The 20,272-nt window shown below is 36.5% G+C and overlaps 1 protein-coding gene across 6 annotated transcripts in view; it reads left to right on the top strand.

Annotated features, from left to right (window-relative positions):
• The window catches only part of PDGFC (platelet derived growth factor C), a 211,346-nt gene that overhangs the window by 4,922 nt on the left and 186,152 nt on the right, over positions 1-20,272 (top strand). The gene's annotated exons all lie outside the window — the stretch shown is intronic.

Here is a 20,272-nt window from a genome sequence, read left to right as displayed (position 1 = left end):
AATCATAGATATTGGATGGATGATATACTTTGCTTTTACCACTGAAAGGTGTTTAGAAAGTACAGAGGTTTGTAGGAAGCCTCAGGGACTAATATATCGTTTGTTAAATAGTTGTAAATAGAGGATGGGATTGGACATTAAACTTCCCTCAGTGCTGCCATCTCTTCTACGACCTCTAGTTCTGTCTCAGGCACGGAAGCCTTAGCTTTGTCTACTTGTATTTCACCCTTCCTGAAACTTATTTCTTAAATATCTTCTGTATATTAGCTTCCACTTCATGTTTTTTTCAAGCTTTAGACTGATAAGGTTCTAAGTTTTATCTATAAACTTTTGCACCCTTTGTGGAAACAAAATTCTAATGATAAAGTGATATGTTGAATAAGTAATAACAAATTAAGACATTCATAAATTTCATAGTAAAAAAAAAAAGTTTCCAAGACTGATGATATTTTCCCCGTAGGTTTCTGTTTGTATCAACCAAAATGGTAGAAGTCATAAAGTCCCTTCATTTACTTACTCTGATTTTCATGTTTCTAATTTGGAAGCATTATACGTAATCAGAATATATAACTCTGTGTAACTCTATGTAATCTCTATATAACTCATTTATTAAGCAATCTCTGTTGCTTCTTGATCTTTTGGGTAAGATCAGTTGTAAACAATCTGTATGTTGTATTATTTTTCACCACCACTGCCTCCAACTATGATTTTATTTTTCAAATCTCCCATTTTTTAAATCTCCTAAGGAGACATCTAATATTTGATAATCATTTAGTATGCACCAGTGTTAGTTCCATACTGATTACCAAAATGTTGAAATGTTGAAATATTTCCAATGAGTTGGGAAGAGACTAGTGCAACTCCTCTAAGACAAATGGACCAACACGTGATGAAGCAGAAATTCCAATGCCTGGTACTGCTTAAGGCCTCTGAGATACTTCTGCAACCCTGCTGGCCTCTGTCCTGATCGATCAGTGTTCCTGCCGTACTGATTGTTAAGCATTTTGACACTTTTAGCTGTGGACAATTTTAGTTCATATTGGGGTTAAAATTTCTATCTTTTTTCCTCTCTGCTTGGCAGCTCAGGCCTGACCCATGACTTGAAGGACCTGGAGTAAGAAGGGGTATGGCTTCTTTCAAGCTCCCTTCCTGCAGCTCTTTTGGCTTTAGCTCCTCAAGGGTTATGGCTGGGGGAGTGATGAGATGGTGGACATGGCACACTCAGCATACAATTGCAACTTCCAGTCATTTGCCCCTGCCTCTCTGGCTAACACTAACCAGCTGCTCTTGCATGGATAACACCTTCCCTTCATCTAGATTAAATGATTCACTTCCTCAGAGAGGTCTTTTTTCTGACCACTAAGTCTAAATTAACCACCCCTCACTGTCTTGTCAAGGTTAATTAATTAATTATGTAGTACTTAATACTCCTTGATATTCTTGTTTATTAATTAATTAATTTATTATCTACCAACATCCCTCACCCCCACCATAAAATCTAAGTTGTTGAGAGCGTGGACCTTGTTTGAATCGCTTCCTGTAGGAACTCCAGCACCTGAGACAGGTATGGCAGAGTGTGCCCGATGAGTATCTGTTGAAAGGTTCTGGAGGTAGTTAGTATCTTATTAAAGAAAGACTATGCTGTTAACTCTAACAACAGGCCATCTTTTAAGATATCTTTTTGGTCTTGGAGCTTGCACACTACTTGACTTCTTAAATAGGAAGATAGCTTGTTCATGTATTGGTAGTGATGGTTGTGCCAATCAGAGTACCACGTTTTACTCTTGATAAAGATTATGTTACCAAGTGAGCAGGTACCAGGCAAATGGATAGGTTTCCTAGAACTGGTTACTCTTTTAAGTGTCATTGCTGTGCATAGCCTTACATTTTCTGAAGATGGGGACTGTCATGTGATGCAGACCAAGGACTCTTGAAAATGTTGCATAGATGACAAGCCTCCAAAATCTGTGTACTTTCTATATTTTACCTGTGGCTCAAGGATAACTTGCACAGGCTAGAACTCAGCAACATGTGTGGTATGAGGAATGTTAGAGTTGGAAAGACCCCAGGAACTTATCCTCACTGATGTGCAGATTGAGGCCTAGAGAGCAGAAGTTGACTTGACTTTGTCAAGGCCACTAGACAGCCACTATTAAACTGCTAATGTGGTGATACATTTTTCCTTATGTGAGAACCAATTAGGAAAATGGAATCCTGGTTTCAAAATTCACATACTTTTTATAAAAGCATTTCTTTATTATGTTAGTGGATTGCATGGTTTTCAGATTGGGAGATGAGGTAAGAATCTGTTGCTTCGGAAATATTTACGGGAACAGTAAGGGAAACAATCTCATAATAATCACATTAGTCAAATGGAATGGTATATATATATCACTATATATATACTGTATATATATGTACTATATATACAGTATATATAGTATCACTATATATATACTGTTATATATATATCACTATATATATATATAGTGATAACTTCTGTTTCTGTAGGCATCTGACAAATTGGCAAATAACTGGAAATACTACCTTTATAATGGTTACCATTATGTTAGAACTGTACTTTAAGCAAGTATATAGATGAAGGATGTTTATTTTAATATTTTGGCTTATTCAGTGATGGTGATGAATAATATGGCTGACATTGGCATGCTTGGTTCCACAAGGAAACTTTCTGGTAATAATTTTAACATTTCATTTAACAGTACATCTCAATGATAAAAGTACCATAAAAATGAATAAATAAGCATGTTTAGTGAACGCTAGAAAGTATAACCTATTATTTTTGAAATATATTCAGTGAGTGACCTTAACTTTTATTTACACTATATTCTATGGGATATTCTATTCAGAAGTTCAAGTTTTTTTTTTTTTTTTTGGTCAAGACCGTCAGAAAATAAATTCATAGCTATAAACTTGAATGGCTTGCCTAAAATATTATTAATTTACCTTTTTAAACTTTGGTTTGCAAAGTTCCCAAATCTGAAAACAAAGGGAGCTAAAAATTATAAAGGGGAACTATAATAACTACGTTTATAATTAAAGCCAAGTTGTTATAAGTGATACTTTTGGTAGCATTCGCTAATTTTGCCTTTTACCTCATGGGAATGCATTTTAAATTTAGTTTTGTTAATTTTATTTGTCATCAGATTTCTCGTTAGAATTCATGTGCCACCTTCAAGCCACTTTTTATCATCCCCTAGTGACTGAGTAGGCTCCTCCCTGGACGGTTATTTGCCCTGTTTCCACACCAGACTATCTTTGCCAGGCTGGCTTCACTAAATTTGCTCTCTTGCTATTCCACTTAATTCCTCTTTTATTTTCAGACTGTGATTTTTTTTTTGTACTTAGCTTTTTCCCTTTTGTATTTGTTTTGTTTTGTTTTATTTTTGAGACATGGTTTCACTGTCACCCAGGCTGGAGTGCAGTGGTATGATCACAGCTCACTGCAGCCTTAACTTCCCCAGGCTCAGGTGATGTTCCCTTTTCAGCCTTCCAAGTAGCTGGGATTACAGGTGTGTGCCACCACTCCCTGCTAATATTTGTATTTATTTTTAGAGATGGGGGTCTTACTATGTTGCCCAGGCTGGTCTTGAACTCCTAGGCTCAAGTGATCCTTCCACCTCGGCCTCCCAATGTGCTGGGATTACAGAGGTGAGCCACTGTGCCCAGCCGGCTTTTTTTCTTTAGACTAGTAGTTGGGTTGTTTCTTAGTCCACTGAGGTATGTATTGGGTTGTTGCTGGGGTTTGTGGGGCAGAGGCAAAGTAGAGGTCTGATTCCTTAAAGGAAATCAACATTCTCAAACAGAACAAGGCATTTTAATGGTAAGTGCAAGGATGTGGATTTACATTTCTACTATATACACTATGTGCTGATAAACCAGCATGATCTGCCAGGAAGGACCTGGGAGCAGCAGGATTTAGATGCATTTTAGAGGGTAGTTGGATGGGTCTAAAGGGCTCTGAGTAAGCTTCTAGTTTTGCATTGCTTAATAATGACTCTCCAGGAGTGACTCTTAGGTGCCACATGTGTCCTCAATGTTTGCAGATAGTATGCAGTGTATAAACTCTCCGTGAGGTATTAGGAAAAACACCAGGGCTTCACTGGCTAAGTAGCTTAGCTAAGGTCCCACAGCTGGTAGATGTTTGGACCTTGGTCTGACTCCAAGCCAGGACTCAGAGCCACGTGCCTCTTCCTTCATAAGTTAAATGGTCTAATGTTTTATTAGAACATTGTTTTCATTCAGCAAATATGTATGAGCATCTGCTCTTTGCTAAGCTTTGCCCTAGGTGCCGCATATGCAGAGAAGAAGATGCAGACCTGCCTTTGAGAAACTCGGTCAGAGGATGGCAGATCCTTCCTTTTACTTCATGGTCTATTAGTTTTGTGCTCAAAGTGCTATGGGAACACAGTGCTTTATTTCACTTCAAAAATCCTCTATTGATTTACTAAGTGGTTGGTTTTGTCTGGAAGGGAAGTTGAAGGAGAAAAGTTCCCACAGAGGAGGTGATGTGTTTTGAAGCGGGTCTGAGAGGGAGAAAAAGAGGGAAGGATCCTAGGCTGAGGGAACAGCCTGAAGAAAAGAATAGAGGCATGAAGAGGCATATATCATGGGCGAGAGACAAGAAGCATCGAGAATGTTGAGAGTGAGGAGAGGCTAGAAAAAGTGGAAAGATGTCCTAGACCTATGCATTCAAAGGCCCTGATGCTGTGTGTACTTCCTGCAGGGTTGACAGTTAACAAACAGAACAAAAAGAAAAGTCTTCATGTCTAAGATTCCATCAAAACCCTTTCTATTCAGTTCCTTTCTCAGCAGGCAGGCAGTGACAGATTTCTGCTTTGGTGTGTGCAGATAACTACTTGTTGCTGGAATGTTTTTCAGTCATCAGGCATGTTTGGAAGTTGTGAACAGGTTAGAAGGGCAGGCTGCGCAGCCTCAGTTCCACTCTCCTGAGCTGAGCCTGTGTCCACACTACTCTATATTGCCTTCTTTATGTAAACAAAGAGCTATTTTCACACTTCATTCACAAAACGGATGGCGTGCAGAATGAGGCTGGGTGAAGGATCCGCAATTGGGATAAAAGGGAGGCAGCTTCCAGGACACTGAATTAAAGTAATGAAGCTGTTACATCACAGGCAAAGAAAACAGTTATAACACTTTTAAGATCTCAAGTTTGTGGAAAATTAATTGCTATGAGGTTACACTTCATTGAGTATCTGCATCATTTTTCCACTGACATTCATTCGGGTCCCGTGTATATAAATGCTGGAAAGATTTTGTGGTATTTAAGGATTTGAAATGACTGAATTCTTTTGGTGGATGTACTATCTTGATGCCATGCCATTTTTTGAAGCTCTGCTATTTGCATTCTAGGAAATCCTTGTTCATGAGTGGATACTATTTTAAGCATTTCAATGTTTGCATGATAGAAATATACTTCTGTGCTTAAATATGCCCAGTTGGCCGTTGCACCTGCCCTTTGAGTCACTACAGAGATCAGAAACCATTAACAACAGAAGTTGAATTTACGTGGTACTTATCTCCTGTTGTTTCTGGCAGTTATTTTGCTGCGTATTTATAAGGACATCTGTCTTTTAAGTAGTCATAATTATTTATCTTTTTTTCTGCTGGGGAATAAATCACAGCTTGTTTCCCATAATGCCATATATATTCATAGTCTAGGGTGATTAGAAATGCAAATTGAGAGTCATTAAAGCTTTATAATTTATTTTGCTTTGGTAGCAGATGATATTTAAAATCAGTGTGCTAAGAAGAAACATTTGCTTAAAATATAAGATGTGAACAAATTAGAAGACAGAAGTATTCATTTCTCCTACTGGAAATTTCTTGCTGGGTCTGGGAAAAGGGGGAAACCTGCAGTGTTCGTTTCTAATTTACTGTACTTTAAACCTGAGATCTTATGTCAGGCAGGGTGCAAATTGTAAAGAACATAGGAAAAACACAGTAATGATTAGTGTTTTCAGATTGCTCTATGGAAGCATGCTAAAGACTCTCTCTTACTAGAGTGTGATTTGCCTTTGGATTACCCATTAAAAGGATGGATAAAATTTAGATGAATTTCTTATAGTAGTTGGTGGTTTTGTGAATACACTAAAAACAAGGGAAAAAGTTGGATAATGCTGGTATGAAAAATATAGATCTGTACATCCATAGCCTGAGATGGGGTGTCCTAGAGACAGATCTCTGCTGGAAATGCGTTAATTTTGTAGATAATAAAAGGCATCAGGGGATTCTTTGTTTTCAATAGGCAGTGACATCTCTACAACTATGCATTTTATTATTGACTTTACTTTTATTTCTAAACAAAAGTTCACTATTTCTGGAGCTATAAATGAAAAAGAACACACACATATATAGATATACACACACACACGTGTGTGTGTATATATGTCTGCATCTAAAGTTATAAGAACACTAGTATGCCATGAGGTCTAGTCTCTTGTATTGTAGAGGCAATACATTTTCATGTAGAGCTCCAGAAATAATGTACTTTTGTTTAGAAATAAAAGTAAAGTCAGTAACAAAATGCATAGTTGTAGAGATATTCCAAATTTATAGTTTTATATATATATATATATATATAACAGTTATATATATATCAAATGGCTTCAACTGTATCTTTGCATTGTGTTAGTCACTATGGTCAAAACTGTCTATTTCAAAAGCAGCAATCTGAAAATAGCAGGCAATTTCCCAGGTCACAATCTGGCTAGGCTACTGAGAGATGCTGAGTCGAGATACCTAATTGATAAATACTAACCCTTTAAAAAGTGGTTTTTAATCTGTGTTTTCTTGAGAATATTAGCAGTCTTGAGGTTTTAAGCCATGATAACGAAGAAAAAATTAGTGATTAAGTCATCTCTATTCTTATTTTAAAGAAGTTTTTGCTTCACGGTGAAAAATTTATCTTTAATCTGTACTGATAACTTTGAATAGGCATCGGTTGGGCACCCCATTAAACTAACAGCTTTAAAATGGTTTCCTTTTAGAACTAACATTTACATCCTAGGAAATCAATTAGGGTGTCTGGATTTTACATTTCCCTTGCAATCTTTGTTTGCAGTCATTTCTAAGTGGCCAACCTACCGTAGCAAAAACTCAGAGGTGCAAATCTTCTGGAAGAAGTGTAAATGCCACAAGTTTACTTGGAAAAATGGAAAAATAGGACTTATTTAATGTATCTGCCGAACATTTAAAACTGCATAAAGCACTGGAAATACTTTTGGTATGTAGGAATGTGTGGTGTTTCAAAACTACAAACATTGTTCTGAAAATTTCCCCGGTAGTGGTGAATTATATGAGACCACGTCCATCTAAGGAAGGCTTGTTTAACTAGCCTGTGGTTCTGGGGCTCATTCAAACACTCTTAAACAAAATAAAGGGAATGGATGTAATAACTTCTTTATGGAAAGGCCATAAAAAGCTACAGGGCCATGTAAACAAATTGGGTCATTTACTAGATGTTTAAGTGATAGATTTGCAGTCCAAATTTAGGGGTGTGTATTATGTTTTATAGGATGGTGACCATGTTCTACCTTGAGAATGAGGTTGCAAGCTTATTTTTTGTTTATTTGTTTGTTTTCGTTTAGTGCGTGGAAATCCATTATTGCTATTTTGTATTGCACTTGGAAAGCATACCTAAAATTCTGGGCAATTGCATTTATAAAGCTTTTCAACTTTGAAAAATGGCTAGAAACTCAGGTATGAAGATTGAATTGATCTGATTTCTGGTATCATTAGGTTCTTTTCAAGGAAAATAAGATGATTGAAATAGAAATTTTCCTTCTGGGCTCAGACATGTCTAAACTAATTGTAAAATAATTGTTCTGGCTTACAAGAGTAGACTCATAACTACAACTATGTAAAGTAAAAAATCTAACAACAGTTAGGATTTATAGTTACTGTCACTCTGCCAGTCTTGTAATAAAACTGCTATTATAACCACCCTAGTGTGAGATTCATTTGTCTTACTTGAGAAGTGGGCAATAAGTCCTATCCAAGTTATCTTGCTTTTAGCAGAGCCACTTTATTGCATTAGGATATTAATTTACCTTCTCTGAAATTGGGTATGATGATTGTGCCAAAATGGTTCAGTAAAGGGGAGTTGGGTGGGTGGATGTATAAAAATATGTTGTGCTGCGCATTAATGGTGATGACTAGTGGCAATGGGAGCTAGAAATAAACTTGGAAATTGAAGTAAGCACAGGAAACGAAATAATTTTTATGTTGATACCATAACATTTATTCATTCTGTAACTTCTGTCAAACATGGTTGGCTCATTTGGCCTTAAAGGAAGTGATTGTGTAAGAAATCCTTAGTAAAAATCAATGAGCCTTTCTAAGTTTTGAAAACTGATGGCATCATACCACACTGGCAACTTTTAAGTGTTACTGCTGGAAGTTTGGCAGCAGAAATAACTGCTTCAGCTTCACAGTCTTAAAAAACAACAGACAATGGTGGATATTATAGTTTCTGTGTAATGTGTGACTTGCTAGTTCCTTTTTTTTTTTTTAAATGAGTAACTTGATGGCCTTAAGTCTGTGAATAAACCTAAGACCTGCATTTAAACTGGATTTTCTGTGATCTTGAAAACAACTCACACTTCTATGCCTTAGGTACCTGTCTGAAGCTGAGGCATTGTGGAAAATGCAAAGAGAAATTAGGCTTAGTCTCTGCCTTCAAGTAGTTTATAGCCAAAGGGAGAGAGAAGACATGCAGTTAGGTATATTAGAGAATAAAAAGCGATAGTATCATGTTTGGTGGGAATTCAGAGAAAGGCAAGATTATTTAGTTGAGCCATTAGAAAAGGCTGAGAAAAGTTGTTAGGGGAGATATATATTTTTTGAACAAAGGGGCCAGGAAAGATGAGCATCATTTGCACGTGCAGAATCAAAGGTGGGATAGGATTTTGGCAGCTGGAAACCTGGTGAGTAGATATGCGCAGTAAGGAAGTGTGGGAAATTCATGCAGTCTAAAATGCAGTTTGTTTTGAGGCAGACCTCAGAAGCAGGTTCAGTGGGAAGGTCATTGGAAATGGGAGGCACAAAGGGAGGAACATTGATGTATGACTTGGGCTTGAGTAAATAGAAGAGTGATTCTTCATGCTTTATTGTGAGCTCCTTTATCCACCCGCCCATCCCAGCTATGCAGGCAGCCAAATTATGAATTAAATCTGATTCCTGATGGCACATACAAGACAGAAACAGAATGAAGGTTGCTGAACAGTGAAGAATAAAGTCAGAAGGAAAAGGAAATCTCACAGGAAGAAATCCCCTGAAGAGGAAGCCATGAAGGAAAAAAAGTCAGTGCTATCACAAGGTGGGGAGTGAAGGATGCCAAGGAAGGAGAGAGAGAAAAATCACAGAAATTGGCCCAGATGATAAAATACAGCAGAGACTGAAAAAAATGAAGACCAATGAGTAGCCTATGATTTTTCCAGGTTGACACAAAGAAAAAATCTTCAGTGTAATAAGTGGTGTAGAAGAATGGACATGGAGTAAAGTGAGGAAGTGAGACATCACGTTTTTAAGAGAGAAGGAGATAGTGGTTCCAGGATGGAAGGAAACATGTTTTGTTTCTTTGCTTGTTTTGGAGGTTTGGGGGAGAGCCAGAGGAGAGGAAAAGATTAAATGTGTAGCAAGAGATAAGCCTTCTATTTTTAGAAAGTTCTCCTACCGTTGATATTGGAACACAGGTGAAATAACTGTAGAGCATTAAGCCGCATACCAAATAATCACAATAAGAACTGAGCTTATTTGGTAGGGAAGTAGGTACTAAGTTTTGGAGGAAGTGATCCTTGAGATAATTTTTGACCAAGCGAGGGATTCAGCATTCACAGAACAGCTTCTCGCCATTTTTCTTGAAAATCTGTCTTATTGCCACTTTGATGTCCTGGTACCTATCTTGTGGAAACCTCAGTTCCATTGGAACATCCAATTAACGTGTATATTTAGAGGACTTACTATGTCTCATAATCTGGGCTGCTCTTAGCACTCCAAGTCTGAGAAAGCAACTTAAAACTAATAGATTTTGTCCTGCTTAAATATTATTCCTTCACAATATTTCAAAATATATAATATAGTATGTTAAGTAAGCATGGAATTATTGTCAAGCTAATAAGTACATATTAACATTGCTATTTTTAGGTAAAATAATTATCTTTACATTTTTAAATTTCCTCATTCTCACTGTCATCCCAAACCAGGTGCTGGTTACCTATGACCTAAACTGTGGCAAAGTGTTCTTATTCTTCCTTCTATGACTCAGGCTTTTCCAATGCCGTGTCACCCACAATCGATCATTTGCAGGAGGTTAATGTCAGATAATCTTCTTATAATAGAGTTCTGGTTGTGTCTACTCTAGTCAAGCTTGGATTGGTGCTTCATAAACTGTAATATACATACAAATCACCTTATTAAAATTCAGATTCTATTTTAGTAGGTCTTGAGTGGGACCTAAAAGTTTGCATTTTAACCACCTCACAGGTGATGCTAATGCCATCGGACTGAGGACCAAACTTTGAGTAAGGAAAGTCTACATTGTTGTTCTCCATGGCTACTGTGCTGTCACCCCAGTCTTCTAATACAAAAATTACACAAAACTGACCTCTGCTCACCCCAGAGATCTGTACTTTCCTAACTCCATGTATTGCTCTGCCAACTCTTTCAAACAATAAATTAATTTAATCCAATACACAAAAGTGCGTGTTGTGGTGATTACTGTGTCACATCCTGAAAACAGGTAAACAAAATGTCCTTTGTGTGCTTGATGTTCATAATCAGTGTTGTTTGTATTACACTAGACATATGCTTAGAATGCCCAAGGACTCAGGGATGTTCTACTTTTGGGTCAGGAAGGGCTTCTCATGGGGTTATCACTGAGTAGGGTCTTGAAGGACAAATAATTCACCGGAAAAGGAAGAGAGAGTTCTAAGCAGATGGTGCGGACTTGTGAGAGAGTACAAAGCCTATTCAAAAATGAACTACTTTTGGTGAGAAGTAAGATTGAAAAATTATTCATTAATTTTGAGGGCTGTGTCAGACATACTAAGAGCATGTTTAGATGCAAACTCATGAGATGCTTGGGCACCACTGAAGGACCTTGGCTGATGGGTAATGATTATAGCCTTCTGCGCCAATTCCTAATAATAAGGGTGTGTCTTTTTGTTTATGCTTGTATTCTTACACCTATAACAGATCATTAAATATTCATAAATTAATCAGGTTTGATTTTTGTTTTTTAAATGCATTTTACATTTTTCGTATTATTATTTTATCAGCAAATAGGGTTTTTCCCAGCTTTGAGTATAGCTGACAATTAAAAACTGAATGTTTACCAAATAAAATGGAATGTTTTGATATATGTATACATTGCAAAAGGATTACCACAATCCAGCTAATTAATTTATCCATCACCTCACGTAGTTATCTTTTTTTTTCGTGGTGAAAACATTTAAGACCTACTCTCTAAACAAGTTTCAAATATATAATTGTTTTCTTTCCAAAATAAAGGTACTTCAGGATGATTGTAAAGGACAGAGAAGCTAGAGGCTGGGACAGCATTTTGAAGGCATTTGCAGCCGTTCAGATGCCAGACAGTGGAAAAATAGCCAAGTGAGTTAGTGCCTGGGGTGTGGAATGGAAGGGAACCATCATCTCTCCTTCATGCTGCGTGTTCAAAGCCAACGTGGATTTAAGGCCCTGTCTGACTGGTCCCCTCTCCGCCCCATAAAGCCTTCCCTCTTGCCTTCAGTCTAATATGTCTCTCTTCTCTAAACTCTCAGAATAGTGCAGAATTGACCACTTTCTACCTTGGATTCTAATTATATATGTGTTTTAATCTCCCATAATTTTCAAGTGTCAGAGAATAAAATGTTGAATAATCTCTAGCCTAATGCCCCACTGGATGGCAGATCTTTTAAGTGAAGTGAAAACAGCCCACTTAGACCCAACACAGCTTGTTCTGCTGCAGTCTTGGCATCTGGTGTCATAAATCATCATTGATGGGTTCTAAACGAGTCATATGCCTTATTTCACAGCTGGGGGATGCGCCTAACGTCTGGCTTCATTTTAAGGAACTACAAGGGGCTAACTGGAGAGCCTCAATCTTTTTGCTTAGACTGAGTAAAATGAATGCACAAAGAACATGATTGGCAAAATTATAATGATGACTGCTTAGAATGTTATTTCCTCAATAAGAAAAAAAAATGTATCATTTCCAGGAAACTTATTTTTAAACAGGGAACTTTAGGATAAAGTTTTATTGCAATCAATTTATTATAGAGAAGAGCATGACCATCGCAAGTTCATTTTCAGTAACTTTGACGTATTTTTTGTTTTGAATTATTTCCCCTTTTGCTCTTTCTAGTTAACATAAGATATAACTCATGTGCTTTCTTATTTTTAGTTTGTTTTTCTCTTTTGCTTTGAGGTTTTGAGATTGACAACTGTGATTTATCCCAGAGAAGGCAAAAATCTTGAAAAAGTCAGTCTTTTAAAAAGTCACTCAAAGAATATAGTTTTTTTTCCCTTGGAAATAAAGTTGATTTTCTCAGCTCTGATCCTATGAGATTATGGGCAGAACTAAATAGTCCTTAGTTCTGGCATGTGGACAAAACAGAAGCAGACCCTGGAGAGAGAGTTCAAAATTCATGACAGTAAGCACATGTTCGGTATGCCAATATTTATGGTGTCACAACCAAATTGAAACCATAACCCTCTGCTATTTACGTAAGTATGGTGCCCAGACTGCACAAGGTTATGCCTATGTTTCCCAGTAAATTTAAGGCAATAGAAATGTTCAGTACCCCTAGAGACCAGACTATTTATTTTCATGTTCATTTTGTTTCTCTATATGAGGCAGAGTGAATTGTCTTAATTTATATTCATATTTGAAGTCAGCCAGAATGAGAAGGAATGGCATTTAGTGAGGATAGAGAATGGTTTTGTGCTTTCATATGTAATGTATCCAGGCCATTGTGTCCTGGTATTCTTAGTTTCTGAGCTGGGGTGAGTTGGGGGTATTGATTATTGATAGTGAACATAGACTGCTTCTTAGATGGGTAAAGCTCAATGTTCGTATCTTACGTCTTATGCTCTTAGAGAACCTGGGTTTCACCACTTTGGTCAAAAACAGACACACATACTGTTGGTAAGAAGTCATGTTTTATGTCTTTTTATAGAAACTTTGAAAGTATTATCATTCTAAAGTATTTATCGTCCGGTAAAATTTTAAGAACAATGAAGTTTCAGAACCACTATTGAGAGTACATCTTTTTTTCTCTACTTTTTCAAGACAAAGATATCTAGTAACTTAAATTATAGTAACATCGTCATGCACTTGTACAGCAATATAAATGAGAAAGATAATAGAAAAACCAAATAGCATATCACATTTGCTGAATGTGAATACGTTCTTAATGAACCTTTTTAGAATCTCAGACTCCTTCTGATCCCTTTACCATTAGTTGACTTTAGTCTAGAAAACAACTTGGACAGTAACCAGATTGCTAGGTGTCTTTAGTAAGTTGGCTGTTTGATTTGGCTCTTTGAGAGGTGGTCCTATATCTCTGTCAAGGGAAAGTTTTTCAAAACAATTGGTGACTGGAAAATGAGGAATGTTTTGTGCAAGAAGGGAGGCTTTCTCGTTTACAGGATAAAAGACATTTTGGAAGAGTAACTCCCAAGTAAGCAAATGAAGCTTGACTATGTAAATCCTTTTACTTAAGGGATAGAATCCAAGATATTTAAGAAGTCATTTTATTTCTTGAGTTCAGTTATTTAAACATTGTGCTTAGGCTTTTTGTTGGTACTCCAAACATTTTATTAAGATTTCCCTTGGTGTTTTCATAAAAAGACAAAATTCATTATGTTTTATTTGTAAATAATTGTCTTAAACCTAGATGAAAGAGAAAACAAACTTTTCTGTATCATATTCTTTCAGACTAGTTATTCAGTGTTTTTTATGCCCCAAATTTGAAAATGATCACAAATTTTTCACTGATCTGTTTATGTCTAATTTTGGTGCTGGAAAAATAAAAACAGATTACTTAGGGTGTTTAAATCCTGTACAGATTAGTAAACAATACCAAGGAAATTTACTTGGTGTTACTAGAAGGTTGAGGAAGGTTACTGGCTTTTGCAGTCCATTAGTAGATCAATTTGTTAAATGTTTAGTGCTAGGAATCTCATTTATCAGGAAATATCTTAGGCATTGGGGAGAATTGGCCTGTGGTATTTACATTTTAGTCTAGTTGCCAAAATTGATTTTCACGTTTTGTGTGTGACTTAGCTCTTTGTACTGCAGTAGATACCAGGTTAAAGCATAGTTCATATCTTAAAACATTAATAGATTTTGTTTCAGTGCTGCCAATAATTTCAGTGAGTAACAAAAAAACTCCACACTTTCATTAAAATGTTCTTAATGATTTCTGTTTGATTTTCTACGTAGTGATAAATGTTGCCATTTACCCCAGCGGTTTAATAACAACAAATAAGTATTACATTTTGAAGAAACTTGGCAGTATCATTGAATGCCAGTGTGTAATAGCTAATCTATAATTTAGGTTAATTCCATCATTAGTTTGTGACTTGAAATTCTTTGTTTCTGACTGTTTCATGACTTCTTTAAGCACAAAGAGGATATTGGTAGAATCAGGTATGTAGCAAAAGGTCTAGAAATACAGTTTTGATTATTTGAAACACTAGTATTTTAAAATCCAGCAGATGCATTCCTTTGCCTAAATATATTGTGTCTTATGCTATAAAGAGGACACATTTTGTTTTGTTTTAGTGTACATATTAAAACAGTTTATATCCCAAATAAGCTAATATGACTAATGGTTGTCACTGCCCTAATTTTGGGGAAGAAAGTTTGAATCAGAAAAGTGTTCTTGGAAGAAGAATACTCTTTTTTCCTATCTATTTAGGCATTCACTGGAACTTTCTTTACTTCTAAAATTTATGCTTGAAATGGCTCAGAGTTTGTGTATGTGGAGCATATTGGAGGCTGATTGTATCTGTGAGTTTAGGAAAGACTTAACTTGATCCCTTGTGCAATGAAGTCTTTCAAAGAAAACGAGGGTTTTTTGTTTTTTTTTTTTTTTCTATAAGGTAGAGTGGATATTCAGGCTCAGATTTTAGCTAAATTAAGAAGGACCTTTCTCTGTCCAGAATAGTATCACAAAATTAAGACTGGCTCTGGAAGAGAGACAGAGGATGCCCTCTTTTCATTGTCATACACCATTTGAATTGTGTTTGATAAATTTATATTGTGACCTTGAAAATGAAACCACTCAGAAATCCTGGTTAATTTCTGCCCCATGCGTCAGTCTCAAAGGGGAGACCTGCCTTTGCCAACAGACCATTCAGTAAGAAACAAAAATATTAAAACTCCACAATCACAACTTATATGGTCAATAATGGTTTCAAAAATTAAAAAAATTGATCCTGGCATATTTACAAGCAATTATATATAAATACAGGAACATGTATATTATGAATTTTCTTTAAACTATTTGCCTGCATTGATTATAGAGAGAATGAAGCCTCACAATGAAATCTGATTGAATAAATTTAAACACTGTTGTGATCACGAGCGTTGTTTTATTAAGTCACTGGAATGTAAGATACATGAAGCCTGAAATTTTAGTTGTTGTTATTGGAGGTTTATTTATTTTCTCCTACTGCTTTATCTTCAGGATCTAGAACCTTGCCTGGCAGGCAGTAGGTACTCTTAACATTATTTGTTTAGTGAATGAAGAGAAGGGTGTAAGAAGCATCTACCTCTGGAGATAAAAATACAGTGAGGTGAAAGAGAAGTATATATTTTCCTTTCTCCTTGTTTAGGTTATAAACTGTCATATCCATAGCGCCTAGATCAGGGCTTGGTAGTTACTCTGAAATTGAAAGATTCAATAAGTGAATTTTTACATGAAGAAAAATGTGAACTGCTGATTTTGTCTGTTATATCAATTGTCATTTTACTTTTGCTCTTTTTGCCAATTTCTAGAATTTTTTTCTTATTTATTTCATAAATTTGTAGTCATTTAGCAATTCAACAATTATAAACATTTGGAAGTTCTGTGTATTTGTGGGTATAAATAGATTTTTTTTCTGATTTAACACTGCTTTCAAATTGCTTATTGAACTATAGTGGAGAGGAAAAAAAAAGAACTTTTCTTCTACCTCTTAGGTTTAGAAGTTAAACTACAAATTAAACTGACAAAAGACAGAGTAACAGGAGAAAAGGCATATTAATTTTATTAATATTTTAAATTTTGTGTGCATAAGGGCTTCAAAGTAAGGATGTGAAAATCTTAAAAAGCAGTTAGACTTGGGATTTTCTATACCGTTTTAATGAATGGTGATAAATTGTGGAGGAGTGACTAGACAATGGAAAGGGGATTTGAGCTTCTAGCGCCAATGAAGTTTGGGAAAGTGACCAAAAAACATGGGGAAACTAATATTATTATCTAATCATAACAGATAATGTTATTTTAGTAAGGTTATTTTAGTTAAGTCTGCATATACAGTCTCATTCCAGCGCCAGCTGTTTGTCTGTGCTAAGGGTCACTTTCCTCATCCTGGAATGGAGGGAAAGGGGGCATTTATGTCATCTTCAAAAAGGAAAATTTATGTACTACTTTTCGGCAGATAACTGGAGAACGGAGAACTTTTCCCAAATCTGTTTATTCTTACTTGTCTTCAGCTCAAAATAATCCTTATGCCAGAAAGGCATATTTTAGGGTGTCATACTCGAGACCCCTTCATAATCATTGATTAAAACATATGACTGTTTCTGATAGCATATATAGCCTAGGAAAAATGTCATAGGTAGTGCTGGTGGTTGTTGGACATGCTGTTGCTTATGTACCTTTGAGTGAAGCTATTTTTATTTCCTGTTATGCTTACTGCTTGTTTTCCTGAAGGTAAAGCTGTAAGTTACAAATATATGTGACCCAATTCTTAACAGCTTCTGCCAGGACTGACCCTATATCATCTCAGGTATGTCCTCAAGGGGACGTAGGGGAAGGGGAAACAGTTCTGTTTTCTCATTTGTGCAGTCTTTGATTTCCATAGAAAGTCAAAAGTCATTCTAGTAATACACACTTAGGAAATGTGAAGTGCTATGACTCATTTTATTTTGGCTTTGCACAGTGTAGAAAATTTCTTGGCTAGGAAGAAATTCCTTTTCAAACTACCAGTCCTCCCCAAACAATTCTCCTCCCTTCTGAATAGGTAGTTCTCTCTTTGCACAGACATTCTTCTGGGCTTAGCTGCTGTGTAACCTCTTAACCCTTCATTAATAATTTCCTGAGGCCAGTTTGTTATAAAGAAATATTGCAGCACAGACAGTGTGTGAGCAAGAGAGAGAGAGAGAAAGAGCGAGAGAGAAAGAGAGAGAGACACACACACATACTACTTTTTAATGACCAACTAGAATGGGGTTAATGCTCTGAAAGAAATAAAAAAAAAAGTACACATTAGACTTTTTCCCCATTACTTTGCACGTTAATCAAGGAGATCACCCCCTTAGGCAGAAGGTAATAAATACTTTTCAACTTCTCTCTGTTATTCAGAATAAATGGCTCATTTCTATATTATACACATATTTAAATGCTTTGAGTATTTAAAAGAATAATCATGAATCTTTCAAAGAATTCTTAATAGTAGGAGACCGTTGGTGAGTAAATTTATCTCTTTTTGGTTCTTAACAAAAGAGATAGTCTCTCTTTTCTTGAAGAAATCACCAAGGAACTGGATGTTTTCAGAGATGGACATTTGGGCTTCCACTCTCCTGCGCTATAATCCTTTCTCACCTTTCTCATATTTCAGCAGCACAGGACCTCGGTGAATTTCACACTGGTCCCTTGGCTAGCCAGTAGAGCAATAAACCTCCCATGAGAAATGCTGTGAATTACACAGAGCTGTCATTACTCAGGGGATACGGGGCAATGATCAAAATGCTGCCTCCACAGAGAAATGCTCACACTCTAATGTTAAGTGAAAAAGCAGGGTGAGAATAAGATTTTAAATATTTTTATGTATGCCCCCATAAATATTTCTATGTATGTAGAGGAACTAGAATGAAATACACTAAAATGTTGTAAGTATTTCATCTATAAAGGCTGTAGGGCAGCGGTGGGGGTGTTGGTACTTTCCTTTCTAAAATACATAGTATTTTCCAAATTTCCTATAGTAAGCTTATATTACTACTATATTAGAAACAATGCTGTGCTAATTCCTTAAACCTAATTTAAACAGAGGGTTCAGGGAAGGCAAATACAAATAGCATTTTCTCCTATTGTAACGGAAAGCACCTTAATATGCCAAGACTTTTTTTAGAAGCCTAGGAGGTGGCATTCTTAAAGGTGGCCCTTCAGGCTTAAGATTTAAAATTGGCTCTTAATTTTATCCCAGAGCTCGATGTGGATATAGTCAAAGCGGCCGCAGCAGTCGGTGCAGGAGAGCCATCACAACAATTATCTATGTTGTTTTTGGCAGTTTATAAGAAATGTTGTTTTCACAAGACCTAAGAGTTTTGTCTGGGAAGAAAGAAGATAGCTGCCAACATTTGGCACCATATGGGGTTTTCGTCTTTTCCTTTTTTTTTTTTTTTTAGCTGTACATCCCCTCTTGAGCCTTGAAGATCAAGACAATATTCTGGGAGGTTTTTTTTTTTTTTAGTACACTTGTTGGAAACATCTGGAAAATGCCATTAGGTTGCACACCATGGACTTCATTTATAGACAAGTGTGTGAGATAAAAAACATGGAAAGAAAATCCCTGCTTTGCAGCTGCATTCTATGGCACACCATCCACAGTGTGTGTGTAGACCGTAGAGACTTGCTATTCACACTTATTGAGACTAGCAGATCGAGAAACTGTAAATTAATTTCCCTTTCTAGGCATAGAATGTCCGTCAACCATACCAGAACCTGTCTCTTATTGAAGTCAGGCAGTTTCTGATTTTATTGCTACTTTGCTTTTACCCTAAGGCTGCACATTCACACTCTCCACAGTATATGGACATCATAGTCAATGTAGAATATTTTGTCCTAGGAAATATTATTTAGTTTTTGGAAGAAACACTGCAGATTGTGCTTATGACACTAAACTGAATCAAGGATTCAGTTTAAAGGATTGAGGGGAAAAGGCTGATAGTGACAATCTCGTTTCTTAGACCTCTTTTTGCTGTTATACCTCAACTAAGGCAGTTGTTTTGTGATACCACCTCTCATTAATTTATCTACACATAAATAAGGAACTAAGCAACAAATAAATAAACAAGGAAACAAAACCACACAGTTTTATTTCCTGAATTTCAGTTTTTCTTGTTGTCCTGTCTTTCATTGTCATCCTTCATTTTGATGTTTACTTAGTTTAATTCCATGTTTCAAATGAAAACTACTGTCTGCAGAGTCTAGAACCCCTGAAAGTGCATTAGCTAGGCCATGTCAGGGGAGAACTTTAAATTAAAAGAGAGTTTTGAGTAGAAAAGTAAATGTGGAGTCTTTTGAGTAGGGAAATAAGTGCCAAAGTAACCCTCTGTGTAACCTGCAGCTAGTCCATCCATAGCAGAGGGTTACAGAACCACAGCTGTTCATACACACAGATCCTGAATAAGAGATGGCTGGGCAGAGGGCTTGTGTGCGTTCCTGCTTTTACCCCTTTTAGTCTTTTATCTTGTTTACTTCTTAGGAGCTAGAATCCCAGCAGATGAGAGGGCGATCTCTTTGGTCCATTCTGCTGACCTCCCTTCTTTATGTCATTTGAGGTTTGTAATGTTGACTCATTAACACTGCTTTACTAGGCTAGCTGAGCAGAGAGATTCCCATTTCTGCTTCCAGCCTTCTTAACACTGCAACTGAGATTTCTCTGCTCCTGCTTCTTTTTCCCTGAAGTAACATTAAAAATTATTTCAAGCATTCCTAAGTAAACTGGGTGATGTCTTCTTACTGCTTTTGGTCTGGAAATTTTCAAGGGCAAGAAAGTCTTAACACATATGAAAACATGAACTGGGAGTGATTGAGATACTGTGTTGCCTAGCCCTCTCCTTCTGGTCTAAGTGAGGTCATTTTCTAGGAGGTGAAGTCATTATCTTAGTCATGTATGTTGTTGGCAGCAAGACTAGAACACAAGTCCAACTCTCAGTCCCGGGCTCTGTCTGTCTCATCATGACGTGTCTTTCTGTTCCTGTGGTCTTGATGATAAATAGATAAACTCTGGA

The sequence above is a fragment of the Homo sapiens genome, chromosome 4, assembly GCF_000001405.40.
Source record: "Homo sapiens chromosome 4, GRCh38.p14 Primary Assembly".
Taxonomy (NCBI): Eukaryota; Metazoa; Chordata; class Mammalia; order Primates; family Hominidae; genus Homo; species Homo sapiens.
Note: the sequence above shows the minus strand (reverse complement) of the source record. Positions and strands in the feature narration are given on the sequence as shown.